General features: G+C 37.0%; 1 long non-coding RNA gene across 2 annotated transcripts in view; it reads left to right on the forward strand.

Annotated features, from left to right (window-relative positions):
* The window catches only part of LINC01483 (long intergenic non-protein coding RNA 1483), a 309,014-nt gene that overhangs the window by 245,502 nt on the left and 39,874 nt on the right, over positions 1–23,638 (forward strand). For both annotated transcript variants that reach the window (NR_109971.1, NR_109972.1), the window contains exon 4: positions 5,952–5,998. This is a non-coding gene — a long non-coding RNA (long intergenic non-protein coding RNA 1483). The remainder of the gene's footprint in view (positions 1–5,951; positions 5,999–23,638) is intronic.

A 23,638-nucleotide genomic window follows, 5' to 3' on the forward strand; every position in this document is an offset into this window, starting at 1 on the left:
TTTCATATAAGCACTAGGATTTCTACTATACACAATATTTGTATTCCTGAAAAATTAAAAAAAAACTTTTTTGTGCAAAATTATATGGTAAAAATAACAAGACTCTTGGGGGAAATAGAGCTGGGGAGACCACACACAACTTATGCAATTTTATAACCAGAACACTCACAAAAATGAATATTGGTACCTTGGACACTGGCAGGCAGCAACTCAGCATGCCTGGAGCTGCTTCACAGAATATTAAAAATGCACAGAGTAAGTAAAATGGAAACACAGGCAGTGAGGCAACGCAAATGGAAGAGGAGCTCTGATCAGCTGGGCTGCTTAAAGGTGAGAACAGGAGGAAATGCAACTGCCAAGGTCAGTGTGTGTGTTTTTCTGGAAGGAGGCCCTGAATGAAGCGTTCATTTTTAATTTTTTAAGGTCAGTGTGTGTGTTTTTCTGGAAGGAGGCCCTGAATGAAGCATTCATTTTTAATTTTTTTAAAAATGGAGCTTTCTGTTGGGAGGCCAAGGAGGGTGGATCACGAGGTCAGGAGATCGAGACCATCCAGGCCAACATGGTGAAACCCCGTCTCTACTAAAAATACAACAAATTAGCCAGGCGTGGTGGTGGGCACCTGTAGTCCCAGCTACTCAGGAGGCTGAGGCAGGAGAATGGCATGAACACGGGAGGCGGAGCTTGCAGCAGTGAGGTGAGATCGCACCACTGTACTCCAGCCTGGGTGACAGAGCGAGACTCTGTCTCAAAAAAAAAAAAAAAAAAAAAAAAGAAAATAATAATAATAATAGAGCTTTCTGAAAGTGTTTCTACTTCTTCTATAGATGAGCTGAGGGAATTTTTTCCTTTCTGCTAAAGTTTATGATTCTCATTTCACTATTTCTTTCTCCTATTGCCTAACAAAACTGCATCTGAATCAGTACAACCTCCACATGGTGAGCTAATTGATGTTATAGAAACTTGTGTTTCGACACAGTGTTTCTGAAGCTTTTGCATATACAAGAATTGCCTGAAAGGCTTTTAAAGAACAGATTTCCAGGTCCCATTTCTGACAAACTTCCAGACGAGGCAGATACCACTGGTGGCACAGGTCACCTTTTAAGTGGCGAGGCTGTTACAGTGCAGATGTGTAATATTCTCTCTTCCTTCGCTGGTGAATTTCAACATTGATGGAAATTGTATTGGATACTGGATCCATACTTTCAGAAAATGAAGTGAGAACATCTCACCAATACATTTTTGGTGAAGTTTTTACTGCTTCCATATGATTCAGCCTTCCACGCAGTTCAGAAGAGTGACAGACACTGATTCACAATGATGCAGAATTATCAACATTACTTCAATCGGGTTATCCTTTGTAAATTTAATTAATTATTAGGTATATGAGAAAACAACAATTTGAAGAAATAGGCATACGTACTGGGATATTCCTACTACCTACTACCAAATCAAACATTTTCTACATAGACACCAAAGCTTTCAGGGAAACGTACCTGGTTTTAGAAAGCCCAACTTAGTTTGGGTGCCAAATATGTTTGCTTGCCTGGTTTTATTTTCCTAGAATTGTGAAAGAATTACTTCTGATAGAAAAAAGTTTTCATTATGATTTTCAGAGACAGACTTTAAAGAATAGCTCATACTGTTTCTGTTACATCCATTTTATCTTACAAAAACTGCTGCATGTACCAGATGATTTTGTCTGTCTGGGTTTCCATTGTCTAGTTTGGAAATGAAGAGGTTGGGTGGATGATTGCTCAAATCTATTTCAATTACAATATCTATGGGTCTGAAATCTGTAAGATGGCTTAGCATGTATCATTCAACAACACAGGCCAATGGCTTTTATTTCTCAAACAATTTTCTGGAAAAATTAAATGAATAACTTTTTTCATCTTCTCAGGCTCTCTCTCCTTTCCATGCACTATCAATGCTACTGAAGAAAAGGATGTTTTTAATGGTTATGAAGGATTTTTAAAAGAGTAAATAATAAGGATTTGTAATACTCAGTGCATTATCCTTAAGAAATGTAATACCTAATTAAAAAGACAAGAAATATAGAAGATTTAAGGTTAATACACAACAGCAGGGGGCTATGTTTCAAACTGAGTAGTAGAGACAAATAGCAAATAGAAGAGTGGCCTCTGGAGTACAATAGGCACCTCTTCAATACAGAACACATTCATTCATTCATCCAATAATTGTTTATTGATTTACTATTTGGTGGCAGGCACTCTGCTAGATGTTAAAATACAATGTTGAGGGGCTGGCAGTGAGCCTATGGAAGAGACAGAGAAAGAGTATGTGACTACATGGATAGAAAGAAAACCAAGAGTGTGTGATGTAGCAGTGGAGGGAAGACAGCTATTAGAAAAGGAAGGAAACGTTAACAATGTCAAAATGCTCATCAGAGATCAAGTAAGATAAAAACTGATAAACATGCATTAGGTATTGTGACATGGATGTTACCAGCAAACTTATCAAAAGTTGTCTCCATAAAGTGATAAGAATTGGAGCCAGACAGGAATTTGCTTCAGAGGAGTGTTAGAGGAAGAAATGGTGTTGGTGATTATACATATCTCTTTTGAGTAAGCTGGCCATAAATGACGGAAGAGAAAGAACAGTAGTTCAAGGGAGATGTGTAGTTATAGGCATTGAGCATGTCTTCTTTCCATGGGAAGAATCCAGCTGAGATGAAGATCTTGATTACATAAGAGAAAAAGATAATAGATGGTCTAGTATAGTGCTTTGAAACTTTCTTACGCATGTGAATCAGCTGAGGATCTTGTTTAAAATTTCTATCCTGATTTAGTAGATCTGAGATAAGACCCAAGATTCTTCATTTCTGTTGAGTTCCTAGGTGATACCGATGTTGTTGGTCTTTAGGTGACATTTCCAGTACCAAGAGTGTAGTAGAATTGCTGAGCAAGGTTATGGGTCCATTTAAATTGGGTGACCATATATTTTTAATGGATTATATTTGCCCTATCATGCAGTATTTTTCCTAGCATCTCTTGGTTGCTTGGCAGTAGGCAAAAATAAAACAGAAAGTAGGAGTTGAAGCTGTATATAGAAGGAACTGAATAAAGGGATGGATGGATTTGGAAATGCAGGTGGTCCAGGGTACTGGAGGTCCTGATGAAGTTGAAAAGCTGTCATAGTGGAAGTGACTGTAAAGCAAGTTGGGAGAAAAGGAACTCATGAATGAGGATTTTGAAAGTGAAAGAATTTGAGATGATGACAAGATCCAAGATGCAGCCCTGAAAGTATATGTCTGAAATAGCAGGGAATGGCAAGAGCCTTATTGTCATTTAACACCCAAGAAGGAAGAGGGCTTATGAGGATGGGTCAATTCCAGGGCACTCATGGTCAAATGCTGGGTGGTGGAAATTATAATGAGAAAAGAAGTTTAAGCTCTAAGGTCATGTGGGTACTGACCTGTTGATCTCCTTGGAATTTCTCTTAGAATTAACTTTTTTATGTAACAAGTATTTATTGAGCACCTACTATAAGCTAGGCACTTGTCTTAGTCTGTTTTATGTTGCTATAAGAGAATACCCGAGGCTAAGTAATCTATAAAGAAAGGAGGTTTATTTAGCTTATGAATCTGCAGGCTGCAATAGTTCAAGAGCATAGCACCACATCTGGCCAGCTTCTGGGGAAGGGCACATGTTGGGTCAAAACACGATGTGGAAGCAGGAAAGTGGGCAGGTGTGCAAAGAGATCACTGATAGAGGAAGCAAAAGTTCTGGAAGCTGAACTCACTTTTATAACAACTCTCTCTCCATTAAGTAATCCAGATGCATGAGAGTGAGAACTCACTTGCTCCCATAGGAGGATATTAATTTATTCATGAGTGATCCACCCTAATGACCGGAACACCTCCAATTAGGCCCTATCTCCCAACACCTCCACACTGGGGATCAAATTTCAACATGAATTTTGGAGGGGAAAACTCAAACCATAGCAACGCTGTTCTAGATACTGTAGGTACCCTACTGAACAAAACAAACAGTGCTTGCATTCTGGTGGATTCATGCCTCCAAAGTCCTGATTTCTGTGTGGATGGTGTTTTAAAAAGAGGCCGGGTGTGGTGGCTCATGCTTGTAATCCCAGCACTTTGAGAGGCCGAGGCGGGTGGATCACAAGGTCAGGAGTTTGAGACCAGCCTGACCAACATGGTGAAACTCCGTCTCTGCTGAAAATACAAAAAATTAGCCAGGTGTTGTGGCGGGCACCTATAATCCCAGCTACTCAGGAGGCTGAGGCAGAAGAATTGCTTGAACCCAGGAGGCGGAGGTTGCAGTGAGCCGAGATGGCATCACTGCACTCCAGCCAGGGCGACAGAGCGAGACTCTGCCTCAAAAAAAAAAAAAAAAAGAATCGCAAACTTGCTGTCCCCAGTGCTCCTCACCAAATTGAAACAATATACCTGGGATGAGAAGATAACTTTCATCATTGAATTTTTCTTGTTATGAAACTTTGAGTTTAACTTTATTCATCACTGGAGCAAAGAAAATTAGTTCGTGGGAAAAAGAGCAAAGAAAGTCACTTGACCAGCTTTGAAGAAGGCTTCTTTTGTTGATGCAGTCCAAAACCAAAGGAACCCTTTTATCTGATATTACTGAGAGTTACCTGAAGATGTGGGATGGGGACTTGTATACAATGTTAGGCTTGAAAATAACAAAAGGTAGCAACTCAAGATCAGAGATTACATGATTTTTGAGAATGTAGGACTAAGAGCATTGCCTATCAATGGATGGGTAACATAAAAGAAGAAAAGTCAACAATTGTATCACTATTGACTTTGTCTACCTGTTATTAAGCTTTTCTTACTCTAAGTGAATATCATAAGACAAAGTAATAATATAAATGAATTCATCATAAATATTTTGACTTAATTTTCAGCAGTATATGCTGCATAGAAAAATCATGTATATGGTGTCTCATAACCTGGGTTTGCTCCCTTATTGTACCATTGCTCAATTATGTTCTCTATTGCTTCTACCTGTAGAATGATTTCTATTCTGACTTTGTTTGCATTTCCCTAAAATCTCCCCCTGACATGTTATTAGTAAAAGCTGTTCACCTCACTGGACAGGGCCACAGATCAGTTACATAAAACAAAGGAAAAATTTCTCTTTTCTTTTGATAAATGCATATTAGGTTTTGGCATTAATTCTGGGCCCCAAAACGTAATGAAAAGCCCAGCCATTCCGTTTGAGTTTTGATGAATAGAAGACATGCTCTTTACCTTTGAAATCTGACTACAGAATCATACTACACTCCAAAACATTCATATTCCTCCAAAATTTCTCGGAAATTTTTGCACAAAGCCTCCTCCTTTCTTTCCTGGATCGTTTCTGAGACTTTGATCCTTTGCTATTTGGTTTGTCCTTATCAGTGAGAGCATTGGTACTAACGTGAATGGTGAAAATGAGATCAGCACCGTACAGGTAGAATTGAAATATTATGATAAATTATGAGATAGAGGAAGCCAGTTTAGGAAAACAGATTTTCCAAGCTTATAACTCACTCCAGCCTTATGAGATAATAAATTTAGGAGTGTTCCTCAACCTTCTTTTGAATTTGTGTAAGCTGATGATAAACCACAATATTTCTGTTGCAAGGGAAAAGGACCACAAAACATCTTTGGCCACCAAAGAGCTCAGCTCTTACAAAATATTTTGATGAGATAAGTGTAAATGAATCAGAAAACATACAGGTTGAATTTCCACCATTATACTCATGGGAAGATAGGAGGCCCTTTTGTCTTTTTCTTTTTCTTTTTAAATGAGAACAAGAATGCAGTTGACAAACATGGTTTAGGTTTTCTGAATCAAATATTTTGAAACCAGTTCAAGAGATTTTTTTGAATCTGAATGAACAAAAGGTTGTTTGCCCATTTCTCATTTTATCATTTGTTTTGGTTTTCTTGGCCTTTATTTGTCCAGGTGCCCAAAGGAGAGAGAGAATAAACTTGAACATTCTGACTTTGAAGGTAAGCATCTATTAATGGCAAAAACCTCCATTACTTTTGCACCAACCTAATATTTTTGGAACTTCCTTAATAAAATTCAGCTGTTGCAGAGGTAGCTATATATTTATCTCAAGAGGAAAATTTTTTCACTGAAAATACCATCAGCATTTCCATTTTAATGACATTAGATGGCCAGATAGGTTTGACAGAAAATTGCCTTTAGGGCTGTCTTTGGGCCAAAGTTTGGCTTTTTAAAAATTGCTAATCATCTTTCACTTTTAGCCTTTCTTCATTGTTCAATGCGCTACCCTACCAGATGGCCAATGCCCTGAGCTTTTACACTTTCTTCTAACTTCCCAACAATTTTCCAGTGGAACATCCCATGGATATGGCTAGGCCCTCATTATCAAAGCTTATTTTTTTTAGTACTAATTCCATATCATCCAAATAGTATATGTTAATTTTGTTTTTAAAATTTCTCTGAACTGTGTTCAAGTCTTTTATAGCTGGGGTACTCCTAATTAAATTTATATGTTATCAACATGTATATGCCGATAAAACATACAAATTATTACAGCAGATGTGGGGTTTCCAAAGGTCTGGCCAGTCACCATGTTCTTCTACAATGATAAATTACATTCATGGCCTCAATTCTCCTCTCTTTGAATATCTGACTCTAGCCATGTGACTTTGAAGTTTTCCCATTAAAGAAGTGGACTGCGTTTTCCTAAAACTTGACTTTAAGTTTGTCTGTGGAATTGCTTTGACCAAGAGAATATTAGTAAATGTTAAATGACAAAAGATTTAAAATGTTTGCTCACTTATATGTCTTCTATCATGATGAGAAGAACATGACCAGGCTAGCCCAGGAGAAAGATGGAGCACATATGGAGCAGAGCTGCCCCAGCCAACCTGCTCTTGAGACCCCAGCTTAGAGCATCCAACTCCCAGCTAACACCCAGAAGCATGAGTGACTCCATTTAAGGTCAATAAAACCATCTAGCCGAGTCCAGTGAGATAAGCCAGCCCTTGGTTGATCACAGATGCATGAGCTAAATAAATGCTTATTGTTGTATGCCACTATTTGGGTTTTTGTTTGTTGTGCAGCATTACTGTGGATGTGGTTAATGTATACACCCTCCTATATCTTTCTCTTTGGCAGCTACAGAGGGGGTTCCTCTGAGCACAGTTTAAAAAAATCCATATCTGTAAATTCTCAGTCATAACATTAGTTTTTAAACAGATTTAGTTGTCAAGAAAGACTTTGAAAAGTAGCGGTATCAAAACATCATATTGTACTCCATAAATGTGTATGATTATTGTCAATTAAAACCAAAATAAAACTTTCTTAAAAAATAATGGGAACATAAAACACCCGGCAAAAGCCTCAAAACTAACATTTTGGTTAGATAATTTTTATGTGTTTCTCTAAATTTTCAAGGTAACTTAAAGTTATACATTACTTCTTGTATCCTTTGTAACAACCCTGCAAGGTAGATCAAGTATTACTACCTCATTAACTGAGCACCTTCCATGTGCTCAGCACTGTTATGAATGCTTTGCATATATTAACATGTTTATTTTCGCAGCTATCCTATGGGATAGAACACATTGATTATTTCCTCATTTATGGATGCCAAAACTCATTTGAGCTTTATACCAATTCTATTATTTGAGTAAGTAAAATATTATTATGCTCTTTTACTTTCTTATTATGCTCTTTACTAAGAGCATAATAATATTTTTATTATACTATATTAATAATAATATTTTATTAACAGCATAATTTTACTTTGTAGGATCTTTACATGTATTATCTTATTTAATTTTCACATTGATCAAAGAACTAGGGATTCTACATAAATAGCCCTATTTTACAGATGAGAAAACAGAGTCAAACATGTTAAATATCTTGCCCAAGTTCACACAGCTGTTACAGCCATGCTGAAAAGTCTATAGCTCAAAGACTGTATACAACTTGGCCCTAGGTCGACCAATTACCATGCCAGGGAGCCAAGGCTAGTGTAGTCTTTCTGTTAGTCAATTTTATCCTCAATGCTCTGCTCAGAGGGAGCGTAATGCTGGATCTGAGTTGCTTCCTTTGCAACACCAACAAAAATAAATTCCAAAGTCAATTATTTAGTTCAAAAAGGTGCTATAAAGTCATTATGTGAAAAAGATACTTGTAACACACATGTTTATAGCAGTACAATTCGCAATTGCAAAAATGTGGAACCAGCCCAAACGCCCGTCAATCAACAAATGGTTAAAGAAACCGTGGTATGTATATATGATGGAATACTACTCAGCCATAAAAAGGAGTGAATTAATGGCGTTCACAGCAACCTGGATGGGATTGGAGACTATTATTCTAAGTGAAGTAACTAAGGAATGGAAAACCAAATATCATTTGTTATCACTCATAAGTGGGGGCTAAGCTATGAGGATGCAAAGGCATACGAATGATACAATGGACTTTGGGGACTCGGGGGAAAGGATGGGAAGGGGGCGAGGGATAAAAGACTACAAATTGGGTTCAGTGTATGCTGCTTGGCTGATGGATGCACCAAAGTCTTACAAATCACCCCTAAAGAACTTACTTATGTAACCAAATACCACCTGTTCCCCAAAAACCTATGGAAATAAAATTTTTTTAAAAAAATACACATGAACACAAAACGTATCATAATAATCATATTAAGTATACAATACAATGGCATTTAGTAGGTTCACAATGTTATGTAACCAACCCCACTGTCTAGTTCCAGACCATTTTCGTAACCACAGGAGGAAACTGTATCTATTAAGCAGGTACCTTCCACTTCCCCCTGCCGCTCAGACCCTGTCACCACAAATCCATTTTCTTTCTCTATAGATCTGCCTCTTCCGAATATTTCATTAAAATGGGTTAATACCAAAAAAAAAGGTGTTATAGCTGACAATCTGTGCTGTGGGCCGGCTCTTTCTGCACCAGGTACTAAAAAACAGGAGGCTTCAAAATCCTATTCCATAGCAGTTTTCCAATTTCACAGTGGATCGAGGTGTCATCTCAGAAGGACATTAACAATACTTAAAAGCAATACTTAATAATGGGTGCATCCCAAATGTTCATTATAGTTCACTGTGAACCACATTTTCCTCATAAATGTTCTGTTATTTAATTCCAAAATCAGAACACCAATAGTTTCTTCTATGTAATCCCACATTCAAACATTATTTTTTTTCTTGCTTTTAGGACTAGTTATTAAGATTAAACATCCTAAATTTGCTATTTTTCTTTTTTCCTCTTCAAGCCCCCAAATTGTGTCTGTGATGTAAACTAAGAGAATACTGCTGAAATATGACACTCAGGCTTCCTGATACATTGTTGGTTAGACCCGAAGGCCTATGTTAAGATTAACGGTCAGTTAGGAGTTTAAGAAATAATTTAGCTAGTAACCTTGATGCGAAGAAAGGCATGAATTAGGCAGCAAAGGTCTGAATTAAACAGAATGTCACAGAAACTGGAAGATAGAAATGTGGACAGCTTGCCTTAGGAATTATGGATGCAAAATTCATTGGTGCATTCTGATTAGTTAAAGATAATTGAGGGTGATAATTGACTACAGAGAGATCTTTTTAAAAATGTATCAGCAAGTATGCATTTGGGGTGATTAGGTAAGAATCTAGATAATTACCATGCAACTTGTGAAACTCATAACAGCCTTGTAATTATTCGTTAAACAAGATGTTATATGCTTAAAGAAGCAAAGTATTTTATTAGTTAGAACATGGCCTGTACTAAGTAGGTTTTAATACACTAGGGGTCAGACTCTGATGCTTGGGGAAATTACAAAAACATAATAATCCTTGTGAATGAATGAATGAATGAACACATGATCCTGGGTATGCCTAAATAAGAATTTGAATGAGAGCCAATATGGAATATCATGGATGATTCTTATGTAAGGAGGCTGTATCTTTAGCTTTGATTTTAGAAATGAGATAGAAGTGAGAAGTCCAAAGGTTCTCAAGCTTAAGTAGAATCTTTGCAACCTGTTTTCGAAGGCAAATCCAATATGAGAGGAAGACGTTGCCCAAAATGATCTAATGGATTTAGAACATGTGTATAGGGTGACTTGCCCAGGCGGGATGGAATCAAGGATGGATCTAAGAGTTCTTGGTGTAACAGAAGAGCAAAGATTTAGGAGTTGCACCAAGTTTGAGTCCTGGCTCTGTTTCTTACCAGTTGTGTGACCTTGGCAGGTTACTGGACTTCTCTGAGCTTCAGTTTCATGAACCAAAGAGTGTAATTATAATTGCCTGAGTCAGAACAACTGAAATAATGTACATAAAATTGCAAACTGTGAGGGTGACTCTCCAAGTATTAATCCTGTTCTTCATTTGCTTTTTCTCTTATTACTGGGGACTGTGTCTTAATCAGAATTGTATTTCCTTTTAAAATCAACTTCTGTCCTTGATCCTTAATAAAAGGTTCAATAAATGCTCATTTTTGAATGAAGAAGCCAATGAAAACACTAAAAATGAGTTTGAAAGTGATCTCTAATGTGTGACTCAAGGCATCGGTAAAATTAGCTAGGAACACACTATGCAATTTAGAAAACCTGGTTGACTTTTATAAAATTACTTTTCATTGTGATTTTAAAAATACATAACATAAAATGTACCATTTTAACCATTTTTAAAGGTACAGTTCAGTGGCATTAAATACATTCACATTGTTGTGCAACCATTACCATCATTCATCTCTAGAACCTTTTTTCATCTTGAAAAATTGAAATTCTGTACTCATTAAGCAATAACTTCTCATTTCTGTCTTCACATTCAGACCCTGGAAATCTACTTTTTGTCTCTATGAATTTGTACTCTATACCTCGTATGAGTGGAAGAATGCAGTATTTGTCCCTTTGTGACCAACTTATTTCACTTAACATATCTTCAAGATTAATATATGTTGTAGCATGTATCAGAATTTCCTTTCTTTTTAAGGCCAAATAATATTCTATGGCATGTGCATACCATATTTTGTTCATTCATCTAACTGTGGGCACTTGAGTTGCTTCCTTCCATCTTCAGTTATTGTGAATAATGCTACTATAAACATAAGCGTGCAAATATTTCTTTGAGGGTTTTCTTTCAGTTCTTTTGGGTATGTAACCAAGAGTGGAATTACTGAATCATGTGGTGATTCTATGTTTAGTTTTTTTAAGGAACCATCGTACTGTTTTTCCTAATGGTAGCACCATTTTGCATTCCCACCCACAGTTTGCAAGGCTTCCAATTTCTCTATATCCTTACCAACAATCGTTATTGTCTGTTTTTGCTTTTATGTATTTATTTTTTTATTTTTATTATAGCCATCCTAATGGGTGGGCAATGATATCTCATTGTGATTTTGGTTTGAATTTCCCTAATAATTAGTAATGTTGAGCATCTTTGGATGTGGATATTGGCCATTTGCATATGTCTTTCAGGTTCACTTTTCAAACTTCAGCAATAGAAATTGCACCGTTTTTTTCTCTTTTCCGCACCTCTTCCTTTATCCCCCAGAGAAAGCAACATTCACCTGCTTTCAAGATTACTCCTAATATGTGGAATGTACTACCCAGAACTACCAAAGAGTCTCTGTCTTTGTTATGCTGCGCCGACATGTGAAAGCTCATGCAGTTGGCTGCCAAGATGTTGGTACAAATACACAGTCAACTACAGCTCCAAATCTACATGGCTCTACCAAGCTATGTTGTACCATGAGCAGCTCCTTCAAAGGATCCTGATTCTATAACTCCCTCAAACTAATATCGGTATGCAGACTTTCACATTTGCTTTCTATCTTTGTAGTTAAAACTCAATATTTTGGCCTAAGGTGATCTCTTTTTAGTGAAGCCCAGAAAAACATTTAATGAAGGATAGCACTCCCTTAGGTATGTGAATTTTTTTCCTCATGAGGACAATGTACAACTTAAAAAAAATACACTAAAACAATGCACTCAAAATGTAGCATATGAGAGATTTAAGCTCGATATGAGAAATGTCTTTCATCCAGCAAATGTTAAATACTAAAACAAGTTGTGGAGAATTGTTATAGACCATTTTCCTCAAAAAAGAGTAAGTCTCTTTAAAATTTATTAAATGTGGAATTTCTATTGCCCTTTAAACAATGGTCTGTAATAATTCTGACCCATGTTTGAGAATGTGTCCCTAATGTACAAAATAGAACCCTGCTAGACATTTGCTAACACGGAAAAGGGCATATAATTTTGTAAACAAAAATCCCATAACTCAAATTTAAATATGGCAATTATTTTAAATCTGGCTAAAAATAATTAAACTATGATACAAAATAATTTATAGTTTAGAAGTATTATGTTTTAGAAGTATTACGTCTGTAAAAATAAGCTCAGGAAAGACATCTGGTACTACTTTGTACACTTTTGACTCCAATTTCTCTGCTGTGAATCTATTTTGAGTGTCACGTTGTCTTCGTGAGCTTACTTTATGATCTTTTATTCCCAAGATTTTATTCAAAGCATCCTCTTCCTCAGTGTTTTCTTACGTGGCATTCCCATAAACTTTTTCTTTTAAATTAAGTAGTCATTTATCATTGAGAATATATATTCTCAATTGCATCTTGCCTTTATTGATTCAAAAAAGCATGTATCATTATTGGAATTTAACCTATCAAGTACGTTCAGCAAAGACATGCTAAAGTGGTTTAGTTCCTTTGATGTATAGCAAATCACTTTTATAGTAATCTAACAGTTGGTTCTTCAAATGTTTAGCTAAATTTCTCTGTGTGTGCCAAAAGAACCTTTTGACAAAAAAAAAAAAAAGAAAAGCTTTCTATGTATTATCTTAGCTGTTTTTAACACTGTTGGGAACAACACAGTTGTTCCCATGGAATATGGCTGTTTAGTCATTTGCTAGTAAATGGGGCCTCTAAACATTCATTATCAAGTTCAGTGAGATTTTGTACAATTTACTGTGCATTGTATGACTTTAGAAATGGTGAGAAAATTGTAGGTTTGTTTTCTTGTTCCAGATGCTTTTCACTCTGTCATATGTGTGTGTGTGTGTGTGTGTGTGTGTGTGTATACACACAGATGTAGTCATGTATTGCGTAATGACGTCTTGGTCGAAAATAGACCACATATGTAACAGTGGTTTTCTAAGATTATAATGGAGCTACCCTATACAGGTGTACCAGATTTCTTTCTTTCTTTCTTTCTTTTTTTTTTTTTTTGAGACAGAGTCTCACTCTGTCACCTGGGCTGGAGTGCAGTGGCACCATCTCAGCTCACTGCAACCTCTGCTTCATGGGTTCAAGCGATTCTCCTGCCTCAGCCTCCTGAATAGCTGGGACCACAGGCGCCCGCCACTACACCCAGCTAATTTTTTGTAGTTTTAGTAGAGACGGGGTTTCACCATGTTGGCCAGGCTGGTCTCCAACTCCTGACCTCGTGATCCGCCCGCCTCAGCCTCCCAAAGTGCTGGGATTACAGGTGTGAGCCACCACGCCCGGCCAGGTTTCTTTTATATTGTATTTTTACTGTACCTTTTCTATGTTTAGACATAGAATGTCTTCTAGACATTCTAGAAATAGAATGGAATGTCATTCTAGAAATGTCAGAATTCTAGATAGAATGTTTAGACACATAAATACTTACCATTGTGTTTTCATTGTTGATGCTATTCACTAAAGTAACAGGCCTAAGAAGTTTGTAGCCTAGGAGTAATAGGCCTTACTATATAGCATAGGTGTGTAGTAGACTATACAGTCTAGGTTTGTGTAAGCATACTCTATGATATTCGCATGAATAGTAAAGTCAGCTAACAATGCATATCTCAGAACATATCCCCATCGCTAAGTGACTCATGACTGTATATATGTATCAGTACACACATACATACATACATGCATATTCAGATACATGCTATTATTTAGCTATGTCACATGCCTACATAACCATAGTGAGAGGTTTATTGTTAATGATAGTAGATGGGAACCCATGTTACAACTAGTCTTGATAATTTTAGATGATCTAAACCATTAGATCATCAGTGCTTTTGCCCTTCTTAGAATAATGATAAAAGCTGTTTTTTTAAAGCATTAACTATACACTATGGGCTTTGCTCATTTAATTTGCCCAACAAACCATTGCTGTAAGGATGAGAACTTCATATTACATTCTTATGTGACAAGGGGAAACTGGTACACAGTGAAATTACGTAACTTGCCCAAAGTCACTTTAACATATTGCAGTGTCAGGAATGCGAGGCCAGGCAGTTTGGCTTCAGAATTGCATTCTTATCCCATGCTGTCCTGTTTTGGCTCTGTTTTTTGTTGTTGTTGTTTTTCTTTTCTTGTGTTTGCATTAGCAATGCATTTTCAAGCCATGGTTTCTTTGCATGGATTGTATGAGCTACTAGTCCATTTTGTGAAGATTAGTTTAGTTAAAACTAGATAAGAGAATTCATAACTAGAAGCAAGTAAATTGTGATAAATTGCAATAAGATAAAAGAAAACATGAGGATAAGGTTGCCACGGTCAGCCTTCTTCCAGTTCTGCAGAACACTTCCCCTTTCTGTAGGAAACCTCACTTTTTCTAGCTGAGCACAGCCCTTTCTGATTCAAGAAATCACTGCGTATGCCTGTCTACACTAATGCTAAGACTTAGTAAAATGTAGTTTCCTTATTTTTAGGTTAAAAATAAATACAAATAGAAGTTCTAATATGTTCTTTCTATACCCACAATGAATTGTCTTGGAAATCTGGAGTATAAGTAGCCCACTTGGGAGACCACTGCAATACTGTAAGATGAAAATTTAATTGAGGCTAGAGAACAGATAATCATTTAGCCCTGGGCTGAATTTTTAGGGAAGAGACAAAATAAAAAAGAATAAAAGAGGTCAACTAAGATTAACATTTTAAAATCTCCAGTTGCCATAGAAACAGAAAATGCAGGCAAGCAGTTTAGCTACCCAAGACTTTTGAAGGATAAAGTGTCACTAAATGTCAAAAACTATTATCAGGCTTAACTGGAATTGGCTTTTGAGCCTCAGCCTGTGGTTATACAACACTCATCCTTCAAATACCCTTTCTGCAAGTGGTGGCTGACATTTGAACCTGTGAGAAATTCAGCCTCCTCTGTCCTGGAAAAACTCAAAGGCTCAGTAACTTTTTGAAGGAGCCACTCTTTGCTGGTAGTGAAAGACTTATGCATAGAATGACATAAGGCCAAATTGTTTATTTAAAAGCTCACTGTTAACCTCTACATTTTTCCACTAGTGAGCCCCGTCTGCTTTTTGGATATGGAAATAGCAGATAATTTTATTGACCCAAACATTCACTCTCATCTTATATTAACAGCTGAGAGAGTTGAGGAGCGTTCAGAGACTTACAGTGTCTCGGTGTAATGAATGTCTTATGTTACTGGGTCTGAGCCAATATACCCACTACCTTATAATTTTTTTCTCTGATTACTTTGCTTCAGGCCCTTTGTATGCTACTAACAACTACTAGATTTCACTGTCTGCTCCAATGTGATGTTTCAAAAATTTCTGGAGGCCACTCTGGCTTACTCTTTCAAGTAAATCTCTACTTTCATAATTTATAACTGTCTGTAGAACTTCTGGTCTTACTGATGACCCACTGCACTGCTGTCTTACCAGGGAATCGGGTGCTAACAACCGTCTAGAGACTAGTTGGAGAGAAGTTCAATGATGTTTGGACACCCTCTTAGGGTAGCCCTTGGTAAGTCCAGGTGACTTTCCCACTCCATTCCATTGCAACTTTCATTCCTAATTAACTCCATTTGGAATTGTGAAACCTCTTTTTCCTTATTCTTCTTTTTCTTCTTCTCTGTTATTCATGGACATCTGCTGCATAATCAGCTGATAGAACTGAGCCCTGTGAGGTGTTTGTTTTTATTTTGTTTTGTTATTTTATTTTGTTTTGTATTTTTTTCATAGTCAAGTACTGGACTATCAGTATCAGGAGAGTCATGGAAATGTAATAGGGATTGGGAGAAAGCCTAAAATCACAAGGTAATAAGATTAATTTCAATTATTTACATATAAATCATCAGCTTTGATCCTCTGTAAGAATAGTCCATAAACTCTGGAGCAAATGAATGATACACTACATTTTAAAGAGAGTTTGGTTTATACACATATTTTATGGACCACGTCTAATATTTAACTAGGTGAGAGCCTGAATATTGTACATTACCTGTGTCAACAAATAACTGCAAAGAGTCTGCAATGAATATCTTAATTGGGTAAAGACTCAAGTGCCTGGAGCATAACCAACACCATGCTAAAAGAAGTGAAGTCTCAGGCTGGGTGCGGTGGCTCACACCTGTAATCCCAGCACTTTGGGAGGCCAAGACAGGCGGATCATGAGATCAGAAGATCGAGACCATCCTGGCTAAAACAGTGAAACCCCGTCTCTACTAAAAACACAAAAAATTAGCTGGGTGTGGTGGCACGCACCTGTAGTCCCAGCTACTTGGGAGGCTGAGGCAGGAGAATCACTTGAACCCAGGAGGCAGAGGTTGCAGTGAGCCAAGATCACACCACTGCACTCCAGCCTGGGTGACAAAGCAAGAGCAAGACTCCATCTCAAAAAAAAAAAAAAAAAAAAAAAAAAAAAAAAAAAAAAAAAAAGAAGTCTCTGCTATTGAAAATTGAAAGATAATAATGTTCTTTGAATTATTCAAATGCATCCTTACCAGTGAATTCAAAGCATTTCTATGTTGGGACCAATGTTGTTAACAATAATAATAATAATAATAGCACAATGACTATTAGTAATCACATAAACTGATCATTAAACAATTTAAATGCATTCTTATTTAACTCTCCTGACAATCTTATGAAGTTGATGCCATTACGTCCCCATTTTAAAGATGAGAAGAGGAATTAGATCATTCACTGCAAGGTAGCACAGCTGGAAACCATCAGAGGAGTTTTAAACTAAGGCCACTGGCTCCAAAGCCTAAGATCTTTGCTACTCTGCTCTACTGCCTCTTATTCTCAACTGGCCTCTGATGGGAAACCAGAAAGGCATAGTTGCCCTCTGCTAATGGGAAAACTGAGCTTAAAGGGGCAAATACTAATTCGTTCCAAATCACCACAATTTGTGGAAAGCCTGGGTTAATATGCAATTAGAAAAAGCCAGTGTCTAAAGGACAAGAATTTTCTGTATGGTTCTTACAACCTAAAAATGGTAACTAATATCTTTTTAGGACTAATTATGTGTCAGGCACTATATATTAAGTGCCTTAACCTCAAACTCTCTTAATATTCTCAACAACCTAATGAAGTAGGTCCTATTATTAAACTCATTCCACAGACAAGAAAACTGAGGCACAGGGAGAGGAAGTAACTTGCCCAAGATCACACTGCTAGCAAGTAAGGGGACTTTGTTCCAGAGTCTGTGTGCCACTGTACCCAACTCTCTTACCTTTCCACTTGTACCTTAATCACTGAGTACCAAACCTCCTGGTGAAACTTCAGGGCTTCAAAGTCCCTTATCTTCGAATGATACAGACCAAATAAATAATGCATGAGATCAGCTAATAAGAGATCATGGAAATACTGAGTAGCAGACAAAATTGAAGACAAAATTAGTAATTTTATCATGAGAATATGACCTAATCTGGAGCTACATATGGTTCAGATTGAATTCCAAATTCATGGAAATTTGACAAATTTTTCTTTTCTTTTTCTTCCTTTTTTTTCTTTCATTGTGCAGTCTATGTTGGCAAGACAAATATTACTCACTTTGTGTGTATCTGTTTGATACTATTCCCTCTCTTTTGTTCTTTCATGCCAAATTTATAATAGAACACTGCAGGTACTCAGGCAATTTTTGAAATAATTTCAAGTAGAATTCTGAAGTGAGCATGGAAAAGACCACTGTATGTACATCCTGATGAACAGGGAAGAGACCACCATATGTTCATCCTGATGCAAAAAAAAATTTACTATTTTAACAACATTGGATCATCTAAGCTGGAAACACTGGGTGGCTGAGACTATGCAATAGACTTGGCTGATGTAACAATAACAAGCCAGGTCACAACAGCTCCATGCTTTCCAACCTTCTGGGATGACTCATTTTGTCCATATGGTTATCTAACTGACCCAGCACCATTTAATGAAATGGCTACCTTTCCCCCTCTTCACTGCAGTGCTGCCTTGTCATAAATCAGGAAGCATACATGAGTTGGTCTATATCAATGCCATTCTGTATCATTAGTCATTTTGTCTATTTGTGTGCCAATATGACATTGTCTTAATTACTGTGGTTTTATAATAGGCCTTTTGAGTGTTTATTTTCTTTACTTTTATAGCTTTGTTCAAATGGCCAAGATCTCTGTTTCAACATTGAACATAAATAGTAATAGTCTTTGCCTCATTTTTGTTGTTGGGGAAAATTTTCCATATTTTACCATTAAATATGAGGGGTTTTCTTTTTGTAGATGTGCTTATCAGTTTAAACAAGCTTTCTGCTATTCATGATTTTATAAGTTTTTAAAACCATAAACAGGTGTTAAATTTTGTCACATTTTTTCTGCATTCATTAAGATGATTGCATGATTTTCTACTGTGTTGTAAATTACATTAAGTTTTTGTAAGTAAATTACTTTAAGTTTTGAATATTACTGTTAAGTAAATCACATTAAGTTTTGAATATTAATACACTCTTGGCTACATGAAATAAGCCTTGTTTAAATGGTGTATTACTCATTTTACATATTACCGAATTCACTTTTCCAATTTTTAAAAAAAATTTTGCCTCTAAGTTTATGAGTAAGATTAGTCTGTAGTATTTCTTTTTAAAATTTTCTTTTCAGGGTATGGAATCAAGTTTTGTCCCAAGCTCTCAGAAAGGAGTTAGGAAGTACTTCCTTTATTCCCCTTAGTTTCTAAAAAAAGTTTGTATAAGATTGGTCTATTTTATTCATAAATGTATGTATGAATTCACTAGTGAATCATTCCAGATCTGGGTCATTCTCATAGGAAGGTCTTATAATTACATATTTAATTCAGATTTTTAAATTTCTTCCTTTGTCAGGTTTCATAGGTTGTGATTTTTTTTTAATTTTTAAATTTTACTTTACTGGAAATTTCACTGGCATAAAGTCATTCACAATTATCCTGTTATTATTTTTAAAAGATCTGTTGCATCTGTAGTGATGTCCCTTTTCACGTTACTGATATTGGTAGCTCATGTTTTGTATTTTCCATGTGATCTTTATGGTTTTAACCTACTTTTGCCTAGGAGTGTGTCTCTGTGTGTGTGTGTGTGTGTGCGTGTGTGTGTCAGAGATAAAGAGAGAGAGAGACAGAGAGACAGAGACAGAAAGAGGGAGAGAGTAAAAGAACGGTACCCTGCTTTGGGTTTACTGAATTTATAAGTCTGCAATTTATTCCTTTTCATCAGTCCAAAAAATATTTGCATTATTTCTTTGAATACTTCACTGGTCCATTTCTACCCTTTCCTGGAAATCCAAATACAATATGTTACAATTGAATGTCTCCCATATGAATTTTCTTCTCTTTTGTTGTTGTTGTTTCTATGCTTTACCCCCTCCATTCTTCAGCTTGAATGTTTTTCTATTGGTTTGTCTTTGAGTTCACTAATCTTTTTTGTTTTGCATTGCCTAGATTGTTCTAATGGATTCCTTGTTTCAGATAATTGCATTTTTCATTTCTAGGAGGTATATTTGATGCTTATAGCTTCAAGTTGTTTATTACATTATGCATCTTTTCATTCATTTCTTTATTTTAACCATCCTTTCCTCTGTTTTACCATAGCTATAATTGTTATTTTAATATTTTTATTTACAAATTTCACTATCTGGATAAACTGAGGTTCTACTTCTCTTGCTTAATTTTTCTTTTGACTATGAGGTAAATTATCTTGTTTCTTGGTTTTTTAAATTTAAATTTTATGACAGATTTTAAAAATCTATAAATAATGACTATAATGTCATTTTTCCCCAAGGGGAATTGTTCTTTCTTTTCTTGGGAAGATAATATGAGGGGAAGGTTTTTTTATTTCATTTATTTTATTTTATTTTATTTGAGACAGGGCCTCACTCTTTCACCCAGGCTGGAGTGCAGTGGTGTGATCTTGGCTCACTGCAACCTCCGCCTCCCAGGCTCAAGCGATCCTCCCACCTCAGCCTCCTGAGTAGCTGGGACTACAGGCATGCACTACCATGCCTGGCTAGTTTTTTGTATTTTTAGTGGAGACAGGGTCTTGCCATGCTGCCCAAGCTGGTGTCAATCTCCTGAGCTCAAGCAATCTGCCTGTTTCGGCCTCCCAAAGTGCCGGGATTACAGGCATAAGCCACAGTGGCTGGCCAGGTCATTTAAATCTAATCAGTAATTGAGCTTGGTCAGAACTGGATTGTAGTTTTAGATAGATTCAGCCCACCTCTGCTATATCGCTGATCTTCTGATTGTGATCTTGGTAGATGTGTGTCTCCTCAGACCTTAAACCCTTCAATTCAATTTTTCTGAGTTTGAGCTTAACTATTTAGCCTCCAGCCCCATGTAGCTTCAATATCTGTCAAACATCTTGAGGAAGAGATGAGCCATGGTTTAAAACAGGACCTTTTATCCTAAGTACCAAGAAATTGAGCAAAATTTTACTCTCCCTTTCAGCCCCATCCTTTTTGACTGTGGCTTTACCAGGGTTTTGATGAAAAGTCTAATGAGTCTCTACTTCTTCAGTAATATAATGTGTATCTTTTGGATCCTTTAAATTAAGCCCTTTAACCTTCCACCCAAACAGGTTCATAACCTTGCAAATCTGTTGTATTTATAGAAGGATTTTGTCACCTAAGCACCCTGAACAGATAAACACCCCACTTCCTATACTGCCTCAGCACTCAGCAAATGTCCTTTGGGGTCATGTGTCTGCGCTCTTTCAGATCTCTATCTACCATTCGGAAGTTTTCAGAAGCATTATTCGTCTTGGTTTTCTGCAGTGGAATTCCTCCACCTGTGCCAAGCCTGAGCCTCAGCTTTTGCCCAAACTTGCAAATGCCCTCACAGAAGAAACAACTATTGATTGCCAGCCCTCTTAGGAAGGGCTCTTCTCTGTTTGGAATTTTACTGCATCTAGTTCTCATTGCTTCCATAGTTTTCTGATGACTTTAACAATATAATTTTCTAATTTATCCTTTTTTCTCCCTAGTTGTTTTAGTAGGAGCGAATATTTGCCAAACATACTATATCCTACTTGAAAGGCAAACTTTGTGAAAATTATTATTTAGAACAGTTTTGTTTCTAATTAATTATTAATAATGCATATACATTTTTAGGCTTATTGTGATATTGAGAAAAACTCCATCATGTTTTCTTTCACATATTGAACTCTATTATTTGGAAGGACTTTATATTGCCTATTATCTGGCTCTATTCCTGTTAAACCTCTGCTCTCATTCTTCGTGTGATGACATTGTGTAGTCAGTAGAGATGACTGTAGAAATTTTCCTGGAACCTATTCTTATGTAGGGATGTCTAGCAATAATTTAGGCATACATGGACATGACTGAATTATCTACATAGCCCCCAAACCCACAGCTCAGATTTTTTGTATTTTGATTTTAACTTCTTATTTGAATTACCAAAATGTCTATGGCCACTTAACAACTGATATGAAGAGAAATCAGAGTGGATAGACACAGTGGCCTAAACTGTTTATAGTCACAATATATTAATTTTATAAAATTTATGAAAACATGACCATGTGACCATATTACTAGGGACCTTGATTACAGAAAAGACCCAGACAAATAAGAGGCCCTGAAATGCAAACTTCTTTTGCTTCACAGAAAATTCACCATCATTAATAACATATGCACACACAATTACCACCATCACAATAAATAAACAAGCACAACCAAACCAAAACCAATAATAGAACCAAGTTGGCTGATCCTGACAAGTCGGTTTCAGCTAAGCTAACTTGCTCCCAAGTTTGATAAAACTTCCGAGAAGGATAAAACTTAAGAGATATTATATTTGCTTAAATATTCAAGGAAAATGGACACTTTTAGAACAAGAAAGACATTATTTCTGGAACCAGAAAGCCTAGGTTTAAATCCCAGCAACACAATATACTAGCTTCATGACTCTGGGCAAGTTTGTCAGTCTCTCTATGCCTTAGTGTCCTCATCTATGAAATGGAGACGTGTGTATATACATATGTGTGTGTATGTGTGTGTGTATCCATTTATATATGTGTGTATATATTACATATAACATTGTATTAGGTTTCTCTAGAGGGACAGAATTAATAGAAGATATATATATACATATATGGACTAAACTCTGATTTTTTTTATCTTGCCCAAATTCCTTTCTAAGAGGTCTGGGGAGTCAGGCCCTACAAACCATAAATTCTCATCAGATGGGTTTTATTTAACCCTATATATCATGACTTATTTTCCAACCTGACTCTGGCATAACATTATCAGACAAGGAAGAAAATCAAAATATCTTACCCCAAAACATGTTTCTTTGCCCTATTTTGCCCCTGCAAAGCTGTTCTTTGTGGGAGAAAATCTGCATTTGTAAAGAATCTCTATTAATATAGCTAGATCTTTTTCTCCCAGGTTCTTCCAATCCTAAAAAGATTAAGAACTTAACAGGAAACATTTGTCATCTATTGTCTCTAAGGGCAGCCACTATAAGACTTCAAAAAAACTCTGGACCAGGCGCGGTGGCTCACGCCTGTAATCCTAGCACTTTGGGAGGCCGAAGGGGGGCAGATCATGAGGTCAGGAGATCGAGACCAACCTGGCTAACACGAGGAAACCCCATCTCTACTAAAAATACAAAAAATTTAGCCAGGCATGGTGGTGGGCGCCTGTAGTCCCAGCTACTCGGGAGGCTGAGGTAGGAGAATGGCGTGAACCTGGGAGGCGGAGCTTGCAGTGAGCCGAGATTGCGCCACTGCACTCCAGCCTGGGCAACAGAGCTAGACTCTGTTTCAAAAAAAAAAAAAAGAAGACTCTGGCCTCCACAATCTTTATCTTAACCTGAACATTCCCTTTCTATTAATCCCGGTCTTTAGACAAACTCAACCGATTGTCAACCAGAAAATGTTTAAATTCACCTACAGCCTGGAACACCGCCCACCCCACCCCCACCACGCCCCCCGCCCACTCCCCACTTTGAGTTGTCCCGCCTTTCTGGACCAAACCAATGTATTTCTTAAATGTATTTGATTGATGTCTCAAGCCGCTCTAAAATGTATAAAACCAAGCTGCGCCTGGACCACCTTGGGCACATGTTCTCAGGACCTCCTGAGGGCTGTGTCATGGGCCATGGTCACTCACATTTGGCTCAGAATAAATCTCTTCAAATATTTTGCAGAGTTCCACTCTTTTTGTAAACATATGAAAGGGAGTTTATTAAGGAGAATCGACTCACATGGTCACAAGGTAAAATCCCACAATAGGCTGTCTGCAAGTTGAGGAGCGAGAAAGCCAGTAGTGTATCAGTCTGAGTCCCAAAACCTCAGAAGTAGGGAAGCCGACAGTGCAGCCTTCATTGTGTGGCCAATGGCCCGAGAGCCCCTGACAAACCACTGGTGTAAGTCCAGGAGTCCAAAAGCTGAAGAACTCAGAGTCTGAT

Source organism: Homo sapiens, chromosome 17 (genome assembly GCF_000001405.40).
Source record: "Homo sapiens chromosome 17, GRCh38.p14 Primary Assembly".
Taxonomy (NCBI): Eukaryota; Metazoa; Chordata; class Mammalia; order Primates; family Hominidae; genus Homo; species Homo sapiens.